Source organism: Homo sapiens, chromosome 1 (genome assembly GCF_000001405.40).
Source record: "Homo sapiens chromosome 1, GRCh38.p14 Primary Assembly".
Taxonomy (NCBI): Eukaryota; Metazoa; Chordata; class Mammalia; order Primates; family Hominidae; genus Homo; species Homo sapiens.
In genome coordinates this window covers 186,414,841-186,435,759 of record NC_000001.11, presented here as the reverse complement: position 1 = coordinate 186,435,759, position 20,919 = coordinate 186,414,841, and the positions used below count along the sequence as shown (strand labels likewise).

At 35.6% G+C, this 20,919-nt stretch overlaps 1 protein-coding gene and 1 long non-coding RNA gene across 8 annotated transcripts in view; both read right to left on the bottom strand.

Moving 5' to 3' along the window:
- The window catches only part of PDC-AS1 (PDC antisense RNA 1), a 35,131-nt gene extending 34,532 nt beyond the window's left edge, over window positions 1-599 (bottom strand). Inside the window, exon 1 of the long non-coding RNA NR_126002.1 lies at window positions 471-599. This is a non-coding gene — a long non-coding RNA (PDC antisense RNA 1). The remainder of the gene's footprint in view (window positions 1-470) is intronic.
- A 129-nt stretch (window positions 600-728) lies between these two features.
- Window positions 729-20,919, bottom strand: part of ODR4 (odr-4 GPCR localization factor homolog) — a 59,194-nt gene continuing 39,003 nt past the window's right edge. For 3 of the 7 annotated variants that reach the window (NM_017847.6, NM_001164245.2, NM_001164246.2), the window contains 2 exons: window positions 18,106-18,216; window positions 14,385-16,751 (listed from right to left, as the gene is read on the bottom strand). In NM_017847.6, the coding sequence (NP_060317.3) occupies window positions 16,684-16,751; window positions 18,106-18,216 (179 nt within the window). In that variant the 3' untranslated portion in view covers window positions 14,385-16,683. Of the gene's footprint in view, window positions 10,638-14,384; window positions 16,752-18,105; window positions 18,217-20,919 lie in introns of those variants that run through there. The other 4 variants (XR_007061319.1, XM_047423438.1, XM_011509660.3 and 1 more) reach the window with 4 other exon arrangements.

The window sequence follows — 20,919 nt, the reverse complement described above, 5'->3', positions numbered from 1 at the left end:
GTTCATAATTACTAAAGAATTGATGTAAAGACAGTATAATCCATGCTGTGGAATAGCTTTGTTGCACCAAAGATAGCCAACATTTTTATGATGTGTTATGTTACATAATTATTTCACATACATTATCTCACTGGAAGAACTACGAGACACAATTGCTCTATGAGGTAGGTAGAACAATGTTTTCAATATGTCCTCCTCAAGGATGACAAAATTGAAGTGTTTGTGGTTAGCTGACTAGTCCAGGTTATGCAACCAGGAAGATATAGAGGTTGAATTTAACCTTGGGCCTCCCATCCCTGGTTCCTGTGCTTTTCATATCACAGCATACTTCATACTGGCAATCATCAATGCAAAGAATGCATTAACAAAAAAATTCAGGATTATCTAAGATTAGAAGATCTACCTTAATATATTTCAGGCCCATATATCGATTCTGCAGGAAAAAAACAAAAACAAAAGAACAAAGTTACCTGGAATCCAGAGAAAGCTTCGGTTAAGTTCCACAACTCTAACAACTAATACAGTGGGTAGGACTCTGGCAGAGAGAACAAAGCAAAGTATAAGGTAATCTCAGTTTTCAATTATGGATATTCATTATTTGGGCAATAGCATTTAAGGAAAACATTTAATTTTATCTTTACTTGAGGCTCTCACCTATAACAGCTGTCAAAGTCTGTTCATCTTTCAGGGATTTTTTTACATAGTATAAAAGAAAATGCTCCTAAAAATTAGTTTTTCATAAAATAAGGTGTTTCACCCTAGGTTATTTTATTTCTTAGAGCGTTCACTCCCTGCTTCCAATAATTGAACACAGACTAGCTTGAATTAAACATGCTATATCAAAAACATTAATTCATTTTTAAAGGTTTACATATATTCATTGCTAACAACATACAATTATTTCCCCTACAGGGTTCCTGTTATAACAAATCAGATGCACTTTCAATAGGCAATAATAATCACACATGAAATTGAACTTTCCGGGTAACTTGAATTACAGAGACTTACATAATAAACTGTGTAAGTCCCACAGAAGTTTAGAAGAATAAGGCCATGGCTCTACATTACATTTATCTTTTATTAAAAATAAATAAAGATGTCATTTTTGCCAATCATTGTATCTCCAATTTATTTTTTCCCTTCTTCAAGCATTTCCAGAGAATGAGGATTTTTAATTTTCTTTTTTGTTGCTTTTGTTTTGGTAGGGAAATGGAAAGGACTTTTAAACCTCCATTTGGCTTTCTCTGAAGGAGCAGCAAGGAGTTTCTATTTGAAACCAGAGTTATTTTACCATTCTTTCCAGTTCCAGAGTAAGAATTTAAAGAGGCAATCATTCCAAACATAATAATAGTAACAAAAACCATAAATGATTTCAATTTAACAGTTATGAGGTATATATTGTCTAATTAGACATTTTTTAAACCCAGGTATTGGCTATTCAAAAGAGATACATTCAAAACATAAGGATACAGAAAAGCAAGATGTAAAATGATGGAAAAACTATATCTAGCAAATACAATTCTTTAAGCAAGTATCAATTAATATCAGACAAATACATTTAAAGAGAAAAAGCATTATTAGATATAGAAATATATCTTATATACATAATATTACTTACATTATTACATAACTATAAAATGGTACAGTACCACTAGGATGATCTAAAAATTTTAAACATATATATGGCTAATAAAATGTCACAGAATATACATAGTAAAAACTGACAGACTACAGGAAAAAAGTGGCAATCCACCATCAGAAATTTCAGTGCAGTTCTTTGAACCTTTGCTAGATCGCGTAACAAAAAATTAGTATCTATGTAGATATTAACCACAGAATTAACAAGTTTGATCTAAAGGACATATTAAAAACACTGCAACTGGCCAGGCGCGGTGGCTCATGCCTATAATCCCAGCACTTTGGGAGGCCGAGGTGGGTGGATCACCTGAGGTCAGGAGTTCAAGACCAGCCTGGCAACATGGCGAAACCCGTCTCTACTGAAAATACAAAAATTAGCCAGGTGTGGTGGCAGGCACCTGTAATCCCAGCTACTTGGAAGGCTGAGGCAAGAGAATCGCTTGAACCCAAGTGGCAGAGGTTGCAGTGAGCTGAGATCACACCAGTGCACTCCAGTCTGCGCCACAGAGTGAGACTCTGTCTCAAAATAATAATAATAAAATAATAAAAATAAAGCATTGTAACTAATAATTAGTAAAGTAGCCACTTTTCCACCTCCAACACACAAGGAACATTTTCAAAAGTTAATAATGAACTAGTATACTGTAAGACAAATTACTCTTTAGGACCACAATGCAATTAAGTAGAAATTAATTACAAATATGTATTTGCTATTAATAATAAATACACATACATCTAAATAACTTCTGTGTTCAAGGAATAAATTATACTGGAAATCTGAAATTCTTAAAACTTAAAAAAAAATAAGAGTATTTTATATCAAAACTTTGGAACATCAAGAAAATATTACTATTAAAAACATAAATTACAAAAGAAGACTTAAAACAAATGGCCTGAGTTTCCAACTAAGTTAAGAAAATAAAGCAAACCCACAAAGTACAAACATAAGGAAATAAGTACATGCATAAATTAATATAAATTTTATAGATAGAATTCACATGCCAAAAATTGGTTCTCTAATAAGATTTTTAAATATCTGGCCGGGTGCGGTAGCTCACACCTGTAATCCCAGCACTTTGGGAGGCTGAGGCGGATGGATCTTGAGGTCAGGAGTTCGAGACCAGCCTGACCAACATGGTGAAACCCCATCTCTACTAAAAATACAAAAATTAGCCTGGTGTGTTGCCATGCGCCTGTAGTCCCAGCTACTCAGGAGGCTGAGGCAGGAGAATTGCTTGAACCCAGGAAGTGGAGGTTGCAGTGAGCCGAGACCACACCATTGCACTCTAGCCTGGGTGACAGAGTGAGACTCCGTCTCAAGAAAAAAAAAAAAAAATCTGCCAGATTCACTGCAGGGGGTGTGGTGGCTATGAGAAAAGCATAAATAAACAACATTAAAAAAATTTTTTAAAACACATGCTTAGATAGAGCTGAGATAAAAATGATATAAAATATTATGAGCAACTTAATGCCAACAAATTTGAAAACAAAAAAAATAGATTTCTAGAAAAATATAATTTACCAGAATTGATTTAAGACAAATAGAAAGTCTGAATAGCCCTGTAACCAGCAAAGAAACCAGAACAGTAGTTAACAAAATATTACCCCCCAAAAAAACACAGGGCCTAGATGTATTTATAAGTTAATTCTATCAATCTGAAAAGAAACATTATTTTACACAGGCTTTTTCAGAGAACAGAAAAGGAGAATAATTATCAACTCATTTTATTAAACTCATATAATCTTTGTACCAAAACTGGACAAGGGCAGTATGAGAAGGGAAAATTACAGGCTAATATTTCCACAAGTATGGAAACAAAAAATTTAAATAAAATATTAGCAAGTCAAATCCAACAGTGTATGTAAAAGATAAAACATGATCAAGTTGGATTTCTACCTGGAATATAAGGTTGGATATATAAAGCTCACAGTTTGTAGCTATAGGTTATGTTCCTACTGTAGCCTTAATGTCTTTAGTTGCTGGCATCAATACCTAGGTCCCCTCCCACCTCCAAGCCATATATGAGAAGCTACCAAAACTTGTTCCCACTGAGGTAATTACTCACTTAGGCTGAATGAGACAAATTCTTTATTAGAACCAGAATCTAACATCCTCAAAAACTATGAAACTGAACCCACCATGATTCTTAATCTTGCATTAATCACAATCAGTATCTAAAACATAAGCCCCCTACCAACTTTTCCCACTCCCTACTTCCTGCCCACTCCCAGCTTGCCCTTCGCCTTAATACTCTACTACACCATCCCCATGAAAGTCTGTACTTCCTTGCTCTCTAAAATCAGAATTTCCCTCTATTTTCAACCTTTTATCCAAGAATTCCTTCCACATCTTTGCCATTACTGAAATCTGCCTCTTCAAAGAGGGTACACTTTCTCTTTAAGCTTGCAAATGGTGATTTTGTATTATTTCAGAATTCAAATATCATTAGTGACACTATCCCTTACCCCAGATTATTCTTCTCATTGGCTTCCATAAAAATACTACATATCTTTTAGGGTCATGCTATTTGTATGTATCACTTTTTTTCCATCCTTGCAACTGACAAATATTGACCTTCTAATTACTCTACCTTTCTGCTTAAGTTTTGTGGCCATCATTAAACTAAATTTCTATGACCTTTTTTAATTTCAACTCATCTGTCTATTAGATAAGCCTCCCAAATATTGCTCTTCATTTTTTTCTATTCTTGAATCCGAGAAGACAAAGATTGCTGGGGGAAAAATACACAACTTAATCATGTGATTACTAACCTCAGAAGGATTTTTACCACTCTCTGGCAATTCCACGATTTTTCTTTGGCCACTTGATATTCCATTCTTTGCAATACTTCTTACAAATCTTTATTTTCATCATCCTTCACTCTTGGAAGATGACCTTGACAATTTTATAGAAATCTGAAGCATCAGATGAGATTATCTTCAACTTTTCACCAGCACACCTACAAGTCCGTATATATTTACACCTATTTTCTTCCCCCTCTGAGCTATTATGCTAGAAGAGGTGTTCCTTCTCTAAAGGCCAAGAGCCACCTGTGCTTTAAAGTGTATCCTCTCCAACATTCCAAAAATCTTATGTTTATGTTTTCTTAGTTGTGTACAGTCATCTATCTTGTTTCTACACGCTTAATTATTCCCTTTCATCAGTATGTTTCCCCTTAATCTGTATATGCACAGTAATATTTAGGCTTAGAAAATGACTTTCCTGAACCTGTTTCTGAATTATTAAAACAAAAAAAAAAAAAGGGAGGGAGGGTGACATAGAAATGAAAATACTTTGTAAACTGTAAAGCACTATTTATTGAGAGTTAGTGTAATGTTAGAATTTGTTCCCACTTAAAGATCAAAGGAATTAACTGACTTCACAAGGTTTTATTATTTTTCTTTTGGCAGATCTAGGAATATAACTCAATTCTCCATAATTATTAACTACTTATAATTAAAAACTAGAAAATATTTTAATAGTGCTAACTTGAAAGCACAGAAAAAAATATTAAAATTATGTTGGTTATTTTTGTTAAACACAGAAATTGCAGTCTAACATCTTAGCTTATTGACATTCAGAATTTTAATCATGGGGGTAGGCATCTGGTGTTTCTACAACTAAATTGGATTTGCCTAAAATAGAATCTAAGACCTGATTAAACTACCTTCATCTCTATCATTAAGTTCCTCTTCACCATTCTGTAAACAAAAAATCTCCTCAACAAATTGAGCAAGTTGAATAAAGGATAGTTTTCTAAAATACCAAGCCTTTTTAATTAAGGATTTTTGTACAGTGCTCTTCTGGGATCAGAAGTTCCATAGTACAGTACAAAATCTAGCTTCATTTAATGGTGTTAAGTAAATAAAATACCTATATTTTTACAAAGATGAAAAAAGAAGAAATAATCTACTTCTGATTATTAAGACAAAGATAATAGTTATTTACCCAAATATCTACTCTATGTGTCCTTATGAATAATAATCAAAGTCTATTTCTATTATATTAATACAATTTGAATCTAACAAATCTTTTCCCTACATACAATACAAAACTGTTATAAAAATCCAATGAAATAATGAAACTGAAACACTTTCAAAATGGCAAAAACAAACAACTGTAACTTCTAACTCTACTTTCATCCTTTGTTCTTAACAACTAACAAATCAATACCTATTAACATATTAATTTACCTTTTAATAAAATGTTATAAATTTTATGAGACCTCATTGACCACCTTTGATTAATATTCATTAACAGACTTGATATTTCCAACATAATTATTTATTAGGTTAAAATCAGAAATCAAGAACAACTTACCAGGTATTTATTATGCATTGGTTAATTTATATTTAGACAAATCTTTTAGGTAAGAGTCAGCAAACATAATGACATTATATTATAATAGGGCTTGATTATTCCTAGCTATGTTGGTGATATAGTCATGAACCTATTGACTATTGAGGATTGTAGGGGTAGGTAAAAGAAAAGACATTTTATTTGTCCCCAGAATTGTCACAGTGAAAAAGAGGAAGACAGAGGCACTGTAGTAAAAGACAGACTGCGATTAAGGGTCATATGTGGATTTTTTTTTGTAGTAACTATTTCTTTAGGGAACTCTTTTGTCTGTTCTTTCTCCTAAACATGCATATCTTATTTTATTGTAGTTGGCTTTATTGCATTTCACATATACCTCATTTTTTACAAGTAGAAAGTTTTTACAACCCTGCATCAAGCAAGTCTATCGTAATTTTTCCAACAGTATATGCTCATTTTCTGTCTATGTATCACATATTGGTAACTCTTGTAATATTTCAAACTTCTTCATTTTCATTGTCTTTTTTTTTTCTTGAGACAGAGTCTCAGTGTGTCACCCAGGCTCAGTGTGTGCACTCAGGCTGGAATGCAGTTGCACAATCATGGCTCACTGCAGCCTCGGCCTCCCAGGCTTAGGTGGTCTTCCCACCTCAGTCTCCCAAGTAGCTGGGACTACAGGCATGTGCCAACCACAACCAGTTAATTTTTGTTTGGTGTTGTTGTTTTTCTTTTTGTAGAGACAAGATTTCATCACGTTGCCTAGAGTGGTCTTGAACTCCCAGGCTCAAGTGATTTACTCGCCAAAGTGCTCGGATTATAGGAATGAGCCACCATGCCCAGCCTTATTATATCTGTTACAGTGATCTGTAATCAGTGACTTTGATGTCACTATTATAATTGTTTTGGGGTTCCATGAACCATGCCCATATAAGATGGCAAACTTAATTGATAAAATTGTGTGTGTTCTGATTACTCAACCAATCAGTCATTTCCCTGTCTTTCTCCCTATCCCTATTCTCTGAAACACAATATTATTATTATTAGGCCAGTTGATAACCCTACAATGGCCTGTAAGTGTCCAAGTGAAAGAAAGAGGTATATGTCTCTCACTTTAAACCAAAAGCTAGAAATGATTAAGCTAAATGAGGAAGGCATGTCGAAAGACAAGACGGGCTGAAAGCTAAGCCTCTTGCAACAAACAGCCAAGTTGTGAGTGCAAAGGAAAAGTTCTTGAAAGAAATTAAAAGTGCTACTCCAGTGAACATATGAATAAGTGAAATAGCCTTATTGCTTATATGGAGAAAGTCTGAGTGGTTTAGATAGATCAAACCAGCCACAACATTCCCTTAAGACAAAGCCTAGTCCAGAGCAAGGCCCTAACTCTCTTCAATTCTGTGAAGACTAAGAGAGGTGAGGAAGCAGAAGAAGTCTGAAGCTAGCAGAGGTTGGTTCATGGGGTTTAAGGAGAGAAGCTATCTCAATAACATAAAAGTACAAGGTGAAACAGCAAGTACTGATGTAGAAGCTGCAGCAAGTTATCCAGAAGATCTATGTAAGATAACCAATGAAGGTGGCTAAACAATAGATTTTCAATGTAGATTAAACAGTCTTCTATTGGAAGAAGATCCCATCTACTTTCATAGCTAGAGAGGAGAAGTCAATGCCTGACTTCAAAGCTTCAAAGGACAGACGGACTCTTGTTTTAGGGGCCAATGCACCTGGTGACTTTAAGTTGAAGCCAAAGCTCCTTTGCCATTCCAAAAATCCTAGGGCGCTTAAGGATTATGCAAAATCTACTTTGTCCATGCTCTACCAATGAAAAGTAAAGCTTGGATGACAGCACGTCTACTTTCCTCATGTTTTACTGAATATTTTAAGCCCACTGTTGAAACTTAATGCTCAGAAAACGATTCCTTTCAAAATATTATTCCAAGAGCTCTTATGGAGATATGCAGAGATTAACGTTTGTTTCATACCTACAAATACAACATCTATTCTTCAGACCATGGATCAAGAAGTAGTTCTGACTTTCAACTTTTATTATTTAAGAAATACATTTTGTAAGGTGATAGCTGCCAAAGATAGTGATTCCTCTGATGGATCTGGACAAACTAAATTGAAAATACTTTGGAAAAGCTTAATCATTCTACATGTCATTAAGAACATTTGTGACTCATGGAAGCAGGTGAAAATATCAACATTAACAGGAGTTTGGAAGAATTTTATTCCAACCCTCATGAATGACTGAGGGGGCTCAAGACTTCAGTGGAAGAAGTAATTACAGATGTGATAGAATTAGCAAAAGAACTAGAATTAGAAGTGGAGCCTAAAGATGTGACTAAATTGGTGCGATATCATGATAAAACTTGAATGAATGAGGAGTTGTTTCTTAAGGATGAGCAAATAAAGTGGCTTCTGGAGATAGAACCTACTCCTGGCAAAGATGCTGTGAACACTGTTGAAATGACAACAAAGGATTCAGAATGTCACACAAACTTAGTTGAAAAAGAAGCCATAGGGTTTGAGGGGACTGACTCCAATTCTGAAAGTTTTACTGTGGGTAAAATGCTATCAAATGGCATCACCTGCTACAGAAAAATCTTTCATGAAAAGAAGAGTCAATTGATGTGGCAAATGTCATTGTCTTTCAAGAAATTGCCATGGCCACCCCAACCTTCAGCAACCACCACCCTAATCAGTCAACAGCCATCAACATCAAGACAAAAACCTTCCACCATCAAAAAGATTATGACTGAAGGTTATGAAGATTATGACTGAAGGTCAAAAAGATTATGGCTGAAAGGTCAGAGGATTGCCACTTTTATTTTTAGCAGCAAAGTATTTTTAAATTAAGGTATATACATTGTTATTTAGACATACTGCTATTGTGCACTTACTAGACTACAGTATAAAAATAATTTTATATGCACTGGGAAAACAAAAAAAAATTGTGACTTGATTATGATATTAGCTTAGTTTTGGTTGTCTGGGACCCAGCCCACAATATCTCTGAGGTATGATTATATTTTCAATCTTCTTTTTTTGACATATACTAAAAATGTGTAGTTACAAATCTCCAGTAATGACTGCCATCAATTCTTTCTCTCTCTACAAGCATATGCCACTTCCCCAATGAGATATGGGCTTCTTTTTCCTCTCCTGTGGAAACTGGACTGGATCTGTGTTTGCTTTGACCAGTAGAATGCAAAGAGTGACATTCTGGAACTTCTGAGAAGACCAGGCCTTGAGAGGATGAACAGTTTCCACATCTTTCATCTCTGAACACTGAATCTTGGAACACTCCCTTTTGGAATTCAATCACCATGCTGTGGGAAGCCAAACTCTTTGGAAAAGTCACGTGAAGGAAAACCAGATAAACTGTCAACCATGTGGATGAACTGTCTTGGATATCACAGCCTTTAGATAATTGAATACCCCACACAGCATCACGTGGAGCAGGGCCACCCAACTGAGTCAGCTAAGTTCCTTCTATACAAAGAGTCATGAGTTAACAAAATGGTTGCTTTAAGCCACTAAGTTTTGAGGTTGTTTGTTGTGGAGCAAAAGATAACTGCAATAGAAACTGGTATCTAGAAATAGGGTGCCACTTGGTCAAACCCAAAACTTACGTAGCCTCAACTTTGGAATTAAACAGGAAATACAGACAGTGGTGGCTAGAAGATCAATGAGAAAACAGAAAGGCAACACTTTCATTTGCAGTAACGTGAAAGGTAGAACTAATAAGCTCATGGCAATTGCTAAAGGGAAAACATAACCTAATAAATTTGTGAATCTATCCAAGGAGACTTCCAGGCAAACATGGAAAATGCCACCTGACTACTTCTAGCTGCCTATCATCAAACAGGAGAAGAGAGAAATAAACTAAGAAACTGTTCAGTTTTGGAGCAAAATTTATAGAATATTTAAAGTGTGTAGAACATCTTTTCCAGCCAGCAAGAGGTTCTCAAGGAAGAAATCACCTTATGGCAAAGATCAAATCAAGAATTGTTAGTAAACCATAGAATTAGGATAATTTAGGATCAACGGTGCATCTGTAATATCCTTTAAGGTTTCAGAAATATTTAAGCCAGTGCCTCATAGACCTCTTAGCTAGACAAAAAGACTTCTAAGAATCTTATGAGCACATTTTGTAGATTACTTTGCTCGATAATGAGTATCTAAGGTAGTTAAGGGTGCTGTTCCTCAACATCCTCTGAGTTCAAATTAGAGACAGGCCTGTCTTGAAGAGATGAGTATGGATTTTCTAATGGAAAAGTCATGGAAAAGAATGACTCAGAGCAAAGTCAAGATCTTACAGGGAAGAGCCAAGAGTTGAGAACCACTCTCAGGTAGAATTAGGCCCTAATTGACATACATTCTGTGCTCCCAGAATCATAAGGAATTAGACGTGCCCAATTGGAGTTCAGAATTGCTATGAACCATTCACTGCTATGTACCTCTCATTTTTCCTCTTTTTTAAACAAGAGTGTATATTGCCTGACTCACCATCGTAGGCTGGGTGAATATGGGAAAGAAAACTTGTCTTTAGTTTCACACATCTTCGGATTGAGGGAAACTGTAGTAAAGGTGCCTCATATGTTACTGAAACTGGTTTAGATCATGAGATTCTGGGTCTTGAGCTTGAACTTGATGTCATATTGAGATGAGACTTTAAGGTTTCCTAGGAGGTAGTGAAATAATTTTCCATCAGGAACACAAATTACTATGACCAGGGGGTACATTGTAACTACCAAAGATTTCTGCCATCAATTTCTTTCTTGCTCGTGTATGCATGACCCCTTCCCATCAAAAAGGGGTTTTTTTTTTTTTTCTTTAATCTAGGCTGACCCTGTAGATTACTTTGACCAATACAATGTGGTGAAAATAATGTTCTGGGATTTCCAAGCTAAGGCCCCAAAAGGACTTAGCTTCTACTTTCCTCTTCTTGAAATGCTTATACTTGGGATGCTGCTTCTTGGATCCCAGCCATAAATGATAGCAAGCCCAGCCACCACGACTGGAAGAACTCCAAGTCCCATGGAGAAGCCACATAAACTGAGATGTGGCAGCTGAATTCCCAGCTGATAGCCACCATTAACTGCCAATCATGTGCATGAGTATCTCAGATGTTTCAAGCCCAATCCAGCCCCTAGATAACTGCAGCTAAAGTCACCATCATGTGGCGCAAAACCACCCAGCTGATTCCTATCAACTCACAGCATTGAGGCAAGTGAAATGGTTGTTATTTTAAGCTAATTAAGTTTGAGGGTAGTTTGTTAGTAACAGACAACCCCACCCAAAATTTATGTTAGTGCCATTAAGTAAATGAAATGAAGATCAAGAAACCCATTACTCAAGAACGAAAGTATCACTAATATTGTTTTATGTATTCATGTGTTACACCTTGCCACTATCCTGAGTTTTATGACTCCTTTAAAAGAAAAAGTTTTATCACAAATATACATATTCCTACATAATACAGTTTAGGTTTCTTTTATAGCTTTATAAAAACTGTAGCATACTGTATGTAGACTTCTGAGACTTGCTTTATCATTTTTAAGATTACTCTGGGTTGTTGTATGTAGGTCATTCTCCCTGCTGAATAAAATTACAAAACCCGTAATTTGTTTTTTGTTGTCAACGGACATTTGAGTAATTAAAAACAGGGCTGCCACAAGCATTCTCACATGTGTACTCTTGAGGTACACATATCCAAGAATTTCTCTAAGGCATTTATGTAGAGGTAGAATGGTTAGTGTACGTGAATTCTTAACTCTAAGAGATAGTGCCAAATTGCTTTCTGAGCTCAGAGTCTATCAGTTCAAAATCCTATCTGCAGTGTGAAAGACTGAGGCACATCATCTTTATTGGTATTGTTGTATTCCTTAATTTTTCAATCTATTGAATGTAAAATGTTATTAATTATGGTTTTAATTAGCCAATCACTTACAAGGTAAAACTTCTTTTCATGTGTTCAGTCATATCCTCTGAAAATACCTGGTTTGTCATTTGCTTATTTTTCTACAGGACAATGATAAATAGAAGTGGTGGCCGGGTGCAGTGGCTCACACCTGTAATCCCAGCACTTTAGGAGGCCGAGGCAGGCAGATCACCTCAGGTCAGGAGTTTAAGACCAGCCTGGACATCTTGGTGAAACCCTGTCTGTACTAAAAATATAAAAATTAGCCGGGCGTGGTGGTGGGCACCTGTAATCCCAGCTACTCGGGAGGTTGAGGCAAGAGAATTGCTTGAACCTGGGAGATGGAGACCGCAGTGAGCCGAGATCACGCAACTGCACTCCAACCTGGGTGACAGAGCGAGACTCCATCTTAAAAAAAAAAAAAAAAAAAAAAAAAAAAAGCACAAGTAGTGGTGATAATAGCCACCCTTGTGTTCCTGATTTTTAAAGTATACAACTTAGTCATGATGCACTGTTTTGTCAAAGTTTATTAATAGTGCTTTTGACTTTACAAGTGTTAGTAAGTGCTATCAGCCTGTAATTTTCTTTTCTCCTACTGAATGTCTCTGATTTAATATCAGTAAGTTATATCAACCTCACACAATATGCTGGCAAGTATTCCCTCATTAGCTATTTTTGAAAGAGCTTGTATAAAATGTTAGAATTTTACCCCCCTTGAAAGACCTGTGCCAGGTCTTGTCAAAAAGTTAATTATTGTTTACTATTCAACCTATGAATAAGTATATTCAGCTTTTCTATTTCTTCCTGAGCCAATTTAAGTAAATTGCAGTTTTCTAGAGTTTGGTCTATTTTGTCTAAGTTTTCAAATACATTAGCATTAAGATGTTCCTGGTAGTCACCTTTTCATCCCTGCTTTATCAATGGATTTGGACCCCTTTTTCAATCTTTGTGTCCCGTTTCATCTTGTTCAATTATGCGTTTTACTGTTTGTCATGATAACAACTTTAACATATAATTCTTTATCAGTTTCTAATTCATTGATTTATTCCCTTTCCTGTATTTCCTTGCTTCTACATTGCTTTCGCTATTGTTTTTCTAAGTTGCACATTTAGTCTTTTCCCTTAAGCATTTAAAGCCATTTCCCTCAAAGTGCTGTTTCAGCTACAATACCCAATTTAAAAATATATATTACTTGTAACTAGGCTTTAAGTATTTCTTTTTCTCCTCTGTGAAGATCTAAACATGTAAATGTAATATTTAAAAAAAATTAACCTTTATTACTGACCTCTACTTGCTTCTGATTATCCATTTAATACCAATTATTTGATGTTTTGTGACTTGCCTCATGCTTAAAATACAGGGTCCAGTTTTGCTAATATACAATGCTTAAGAAAAATATTCTTTAATTGTTTAATACATTATTCTAAATGTTTATTGAATCAGTATTAATTACATTAAAATGCTTTCACTAATTCTTTATCATTAATTAGTTGTTGAAATCTCCCATTATTGCTCATTTTGTTGCTTCAGCCCTATTGTTGCTTCAGTTCATACATTTTGGGGCCATTTCATATGGTGAATGCACACTGAAAATTATTATATAGACCTAGTAAATTGATCCTTTATTTTTAATGGCCTTCTCAATCTTTAATATCATAAATCTAATTATTGTGATTTAATATCACTAAAGCTACACAAGTTTTTAGTATTTACCTACTTCATTTAAAAAAAATTTTTTTTTTACTTTCAACCTCCCCATGTCTAATATTTTAGGTGTTTTATTTTAAACAGCCTAGTTGGGTTTTTAAAAAAATCTGACCAATGCTATCATTTAATTGGGTAATTGTCTATTCATATTCATTTTAATATTAGACTTGTTATTATCTTACTTTCTAACTTCACCCCCCACCCGCCTCCATAATTTCTTTCTTTATTTGTACTAGGTTATTGCATACCTATTCTGTATTTTAAATAAATTTCTTTTCCTTTGGAATGATTCATCATTTTTTTTTTTTTTTTTTTGAGATAGAGTCTCACTCTGTCACCCAGGCTGGAGTGCAGTGGTGCAATCTCCTCACTGCAACCTTCGCCTCCCTGGTTCAAGTGATTCTCCCACCTCAGCCTCCAGAGTAGCTAGGATTACAGGCGCATGCCATCACACGCAGCTGATTTTTGTGTATTTTGGTAGAACGGGATTTCACCATGTTGGCCAGGCTGGTCTGGAACTCCTGACCCCAAGTGATCTGCCTGCCTCAGCCTCCAAAAGTGCTGATTATAAGTGTGAGCCACCGTGCCTGGCCGATCCCCTATCTATTGTTGTGGCAGTTACCCTTGAACTCTTGACTACACATATTTATTATAACATAGTCAATTTTAAGGTTAAACAGTATCTTAACCAGTTTTCTGAATAAAAGAACCTCAGACCACTCTAATTCCAATCACCCTTCTGCCAGCCAGCAGCTATTATCCAATTTTACAATTATATCCTTATTTAAAAATTCCACATTATTAATGTTGCATAACAATGTTTATTTAGTTTTACATTTGTTTACAATTTCTTATAAACACTTCATTATAATTGTTTTATACAAACAACAGTTTAAATTTACTTATGTTTATCATTTATTTGCTTACTAGTTTTTCAATTTCAGATAATCCTTTTAGAATCATTTCCCTTCTTGAAGATCATCCTTTTGTAGTCTCTTTACTGAATTTGTGCTGAGGATAACATCTGTTTTTCATCTGAGCATCTGTTTGTTTCAGTTTCGCTTGTTGCAAATTCTAAGCTAATAGTTTTTCTCAGAATTCTACCCTCTTTTGGGTACATTGTTGCTGTTAGGAAGCCTACTAAGTATTTGACTGTCTTGCTTTCACTGATCTTTTTCTCCCCATGGTTGCTTTTAAAATCTTGTATTTGGTATCTTGTCATTTACAATACCTTGAGTCTAGGCCTGGATTTTATTTAAATATATGTTTGGTATATATTGTGCTTCCTGAATTTATGAATTCATGTTTTTCCAACAAATTTGTAAAATTGTGTTATCTTTCAAGTACTGCCTCTCCTTTATTCTCTAAATTTTCTCTTTCTAGGACTCCTAGTCTTTATAATTCTTCCCTCGAACTCTCTTAACTTTCCAATGTTTTCTAGCTCCTTGTTTCTCCTCACTGCTCACTGGGTAATTTCTTTAGATCCAGCTTATAGTTTAGTTCACTTGTCTCTTCAGCTGAGTCTAATAAAATATTCAACATGTCTGAGGGCTTTTTTCTTATTTCAATAAATATTTCTCATTTTTAGGAGCTCTATTTGGTTCTTTTTCAGATCTGCCTGTGGTTCCAACTTCATTCCTTATGTTGGTGATGAAACCTTGAAGAACTGAGTTCAATGTTTATTTTTTCTATAGCTTTCTTGTCATGTTAGTTTGTTTCAACTTGTGCCTGTGATCTCTAGTCATAAAATACTACTACTTGATAATAATCTGTAGGAATCTTGGAACTAAATTAGGAATGTTTCCCTCTTGCTTCTGCCAGGAGCTAGAGCACTGCAAACTGAGGACCACTGAACCTTCTTTAACTGTCCTCTCTAGGGCAGCATCTCAGATTCCGATGTCTTCTTGTTTCTGATTTGAGGCAAACTGCATATGACAATGTTGCTATTGGTATCTGCCATCCAGACAACCATAATCCACTTGTATGGTCAATACAGTATTCATGACTCCTAACTTAAAATGCGTTCATTTTTTGTGGCAGAGGAAATGTCGAAGTATGGTTCTTGAAAATTCTCCTACTTCCAGTGAACCTATTAAAAGCAGATTTTATTCAGGATCTAGTTGTTTTATAATATCTAGTCTAACATACTTGCTGGAAGCAAAAGTCTTAATTTTATATATTAAATATATTATAACAGTTATACAGTAACCTGAGAAAGCACGTATTTTATGTCATTTCTTACTAATGGGACTTCTCTGGAAAGGTTCCCTACCCCTTGATCAGAACAAAACACACAGTATACAGGAACTGAGTGCACATTAGAAAGCTCCTAGAGGATGAACTTATCCTAAAGTTGTTGTCTCATTTGGTAGAAATTTTTCTGGTGCTCTATTATTAAGATGTTACATCAACATTCACTGTTCAAATTATTATTCTTTTTTTTTTAAATTTACTTATGTATTTTAGAGACAATGTCTCATTTTGTCACCCAGGCTGGAGTACAGTGATGTGATCATAGCTCGCTGCAGCCTCAAACTCCTGGGCTCACGTGATCTTCCTGCTTCAGCCTCCAAGTAGTTGGGACTAGAGCTGATTGCCACCATGTCCAGCTAATTTTTTTTTTTTCCAGTAGAGACAGAATCTCATTATGTCATCCAGGCTGGTCTCCAACTCCCTCCCAGCCCCAGGTGATGCTCCTACCTCAGCCTCTCAAAGCATTAGGATTATACGTGTGAGCCATCATGCCTCTGTTAAAGTTTTTAATGTCCTGATTAATATGTGATTCAGATTAGTAAGACTAAAATCTATGATCATATCCCATCATTTTGAAGCTTTTAAAAATAGATAATAATGATTTGTTACATGCAGCTTCCATCTAGATGCATAACGTTATTTCTGGAAATGCGGGCCACCTACAATGTAAAGCAGGCTAAACAAGGCAGCTTGTGATTTCATTTTAATCAGAAACACACCAAATAGGCATCATGGCAGCAGATCTGGCTGCTAGTGTTTTAAATACAGATGGATTGTTAACATCTTTATTATTCATAATTGTCTGTCAATGTTCTCTGGATGATCAAGAAACTCTTTGTGCCTCACCCTAATCACTGAAGTAATGAAAGGAGATACCCGCAGCAAGGACTGCAACTGTAAATGCTGCAATCACACCTAAAAGTAAAACAAACACAGAACAAATGAAAATGGAATGAGCAAAAGAAAGGCCAAACTAATCCTAGGCTCTGAAATGTGGGTAACTGATGGGCCTAAAAAACAATACACAAACACACAATCATACATAGACATACATATGTATATACTAAAAGGCAGCAACATCTTAGAGAAAAATACAGCAATTAGTTGAAAAACTAGATTTCAAATGTTGGACAAAGTATCTCTCTTGCACACATGTGCACTGAGACGTATCTAAGAGAAAAAATAACAAACACTTTAAAGGGCTTATATAAATATTTATATTGGCATACCAGCTGTCTTATGCTACGTAGGTTAAAAGAAAACGGCAGCTCCAGTAGGCAGTAGTTCTCAATCATTATAATATAAAGCCACCTGTGTAACTTGTGTAGCTACTGAAAACTGCAGAAGTCCATGTTCGACCATTATAAAATCTAATAATTAGTACATCTAAGTTGTAACTTTTATTTTTTCCTGATTATAGTAAGCTAAAGAAAGAAAATCCCCATCTCTACTAAAAATACAAAAAATTAGCCGGGCGCGGTGGCGGGCGCCTGTAGTCCCAGCTACTCGGGAGGCTGAGGCAGGAGAATGGCGTGAACCCGGGAAGCGGAGCTTGCAGTGAGCCGAGATTGCGCCACTGCACTCCAGCCTGGGCGACAGAGCGAGACTCCGTCTCAAAAAAAAAAAAAAAAAAAGAAAGAAAGAAAATGACCATAGTAGTCCAGACAGACAGACAGACACACACACATGTACAAAAAAATTAATTAAATTTATCTAATGAATGACAAGAACTACAATTAAATCTTCTGGCTCCTAACTCTCAGTCAGAAGTCTTAAAACTTAGTATTTCTCAAATTGTTACTCCACTAAACAATAGTCTGCATGTTCCTTGTTCAAAAATTCTGAAAACTGTTAAAGTAATTCTTAGAGCCTTTAAAATATAAAAATACATTATAAAATTCCTGACTTGAATTTAACGTTGTTTGTCATAGAACACCTATCAAAATCTCCTGCAATAGTAATTCTAAGAACACCCGTTTGTAAAACATTAGCCCTACTATATTAACTGATTCCCAAAACTCTGCAGCTTTTTCTTTTAAGAACGTTTTAAAAATTAATAGGATGTGTCATCTTTGAGGGCACTTAGATGACAATGTATGAATTATAAATCTTCCTATCTCTAGGGCCTGGTACTTTCCATAATACCCAATAAATACTGTTAAGTCTAGCAATCTTAAGAAAGAGAAATGAAATACAAAGATCTTAAAGTAACAAGAAAACTCAAATCTAAATATGTTTTCAGTGTTATAAAAGAAGTAAAATTAAATACCTATGTTTTGCTGAATTTTCAATAACATTGTAGTTTTAATTGGTTGTTTTGGTTGTTCATCATCTGTGTTGTCCAATGAAGCTTGACTATTCATAGAAGAACTCATACAAGCTGAAAGGGTATAATAATAATAAATTCCACATAAAATAAGGATTAACACATGAAACTGAGCTTTAAAGAACATTATAAAAAACTATACGATCATCACCATTTTCTTTCTACTTGTTTTTTATATAACATACTGAATTTGTTCATTATCAATTGTAGGTGAATTAAATTTAATAGAATATACGTCAAATTAACAGTTTTCAAAACAATGTAGCTTTATCATTGAACTAAACCAGAGGGCCACACAGCCAGTTCTGAATGACTTTCAAAAATTGTGATTTGTTGGCCAGGCATGGTGGCTGACGCCTGTAATCCCAGCACTTTGGGAGGCTGAGGCAGGCAGAGTGCCTGAGCTCAGGAGTTCAAGACCAGCCTGGGCAACACAGTGAAACCCCGTCTCTACTAAAATACAAAAAATTAGACGGGCATGGTGGTGTGCACCTGTAGTCCCAGCTACTTGGGAGGCTGAGGCAGGAGAACTGCTTGAACCCGGGAGACGGAGGTTACAGTGAGCCGAGATTGCACCACTGCACTCCAGCCTGGGTGAAAGAGCGAGACTCTGTCTCAAAAAAAAGTAACAATAATAATAATTTGTTTACTATATAGTAGTAGAGATAAATTTATACCAAAATTCATAGCAGAGTAAACTTCGCTCTTGAGATTAATTTACTTTTTTTTTTTTTTTTTTTTTGAGACAGAATCCTACTCTGTCACCCAGGCTGGAGTGCGGTGGCATGATCTCAGCTCACTGCAACCTCTGCCTCCCAGGTTCAAGTGATTCTCCTGCCTCAACCTCCTGAGTAGCTGGGATTACAGCCGCCTGCCACCACACCTGGCTAATTTTTGCATTTAAATTTAATTTAATTTATTTATTTGAGACAGAGTCTTGCTCTGTTGCCTAGGCTGGAGTGCAATGGCGTGGTCTCAGCTCACTGCAACCTCCACCTTCCAGGTTCAAGCAATTCTCCTGCCTCAGCCTCCCGAGTAGCTGGGACTACAGGGGTGCACCACTATGCCCGACTAACTTTTGTATTTTTAGTAAAGATGGGGTTTTGCCATGTTGGCCAGGCTGGTCCCCAACTCCTGACATCAGGTAATCTGCCCACCTTGGCCTCCCAAAGTGCTGGGATTATAGCCATGAGCCATCACACCTGGCCTAATTTTTGTATTTTTAGTTGAGATGGGATTTCACCATGTTGGCCAGGCTGGTCTCGGACTCCTGACTATAAGTGATCTGCCTGTCTCGGCCTCCCAAAGTGCTGGGATTACAGGTGTGAGCCACCATGCCCAGTCTAATTTATATCATTATTGGTGGTTTTAGCAATTAATAATTTCAAATAATTAGATATTAATAATAAAACCACTGACCAGCACGTTGCAGTACATGGGCCTCTGGCTCATGACCTATTTTTGTAAAAGCTCTTAAACTAAAAATCTGTTTTTCATATTTTTAAAAGACTGTAAAAAAAAAATGTGAAAAAGACCTTATGCGGCTCACAAAGCCTAAAATATTTATTTGTACAAAAAAAAGTTTGCTGACTCTGGATCCAACTTGAAATTGAAACTATGATCAAAAATTTGACCTTGAAACAACTCAGAATGGTAAGCAAGGCAAGGACATCATCGCATTTTACAAATGGAAAACATAACCTGGGAGGTTAAAGTGCATTTCGACCATCACAGGCATTTGACTGATGATTTGGACACAAGTTCTCTTTCTACTTCATTATGCTGACAGCAATTTATGCAGGTTGGCCTATCCGAATTTATTTAATGCTGAATGAAAGTGTGTGAACTGATAGCATCCTCAGAGACCACACAGGCTAATAGTTTTCTGTTTTTTTCCCCTAGGACTGAAGAATCCTATGAAAACAAAGAAAATCTGACAGAAATTCCCAGTGTGTAAAAAAGATGAAAGTATGCTACCCAGGCTGAAGCTGGGAGGGAGGACTCCTGGAGTCAGACCAGCTTCTTTCTTCCATCCTAGAGGTGACATTAGAATGCTACTCTATAGAACTCCAGGGAACTAGATTATGAAAGCAACTACTTTAGATTTATCTGTTTATTTACCCTCACCCCCACAAAAAAGAGAGAGAGAACTCAAGAGAGATAGTAAATATTACTGTTTAAATTTAAAGTAAAATAGCCTATTGTTGAATTTACAATGTTCTTATAGACATCTTTGCACCCCAATATGGGAGCACAAGCTCAAAAGAATGACATATAAACTTACTGAAATAGGTATATATGATACTAAAATGGATGAAAAAGAAAAAAAATTACCTACTTCTCATTAATTTCTCACAAAGAAAAGTTTATGATTTTCATAAACAATTCCTAGTAACTATCTTATTAGAAATAAGGGCACCACTATTCTTTTTTCTTTTTCTTCTTCTAGCATTTAACTAAAATACTTTAAAAACAAAAAACAAAAAAACCCTCCCCCCTTTTTTTTTCTATTCTCATATCAAACCAGTCACAAAGAAAAACAAATTCTTATGAACTGTCTCTAGGAATATCTAGTCTTCTATATTTCCAGTTTGTAGTTTTCTCAAGGGCTATAATACTTCAGTTCTAGACTATATTAGCTCAGTAATTTAAAATTTCTTCCAACTTCAGTCCATAGGTCTAAAAATTGAATGGCTCATACAATTTTACATCAAATAAAAACAAAAACAAACTTCGGCTCTTCTATGAGCAAATATC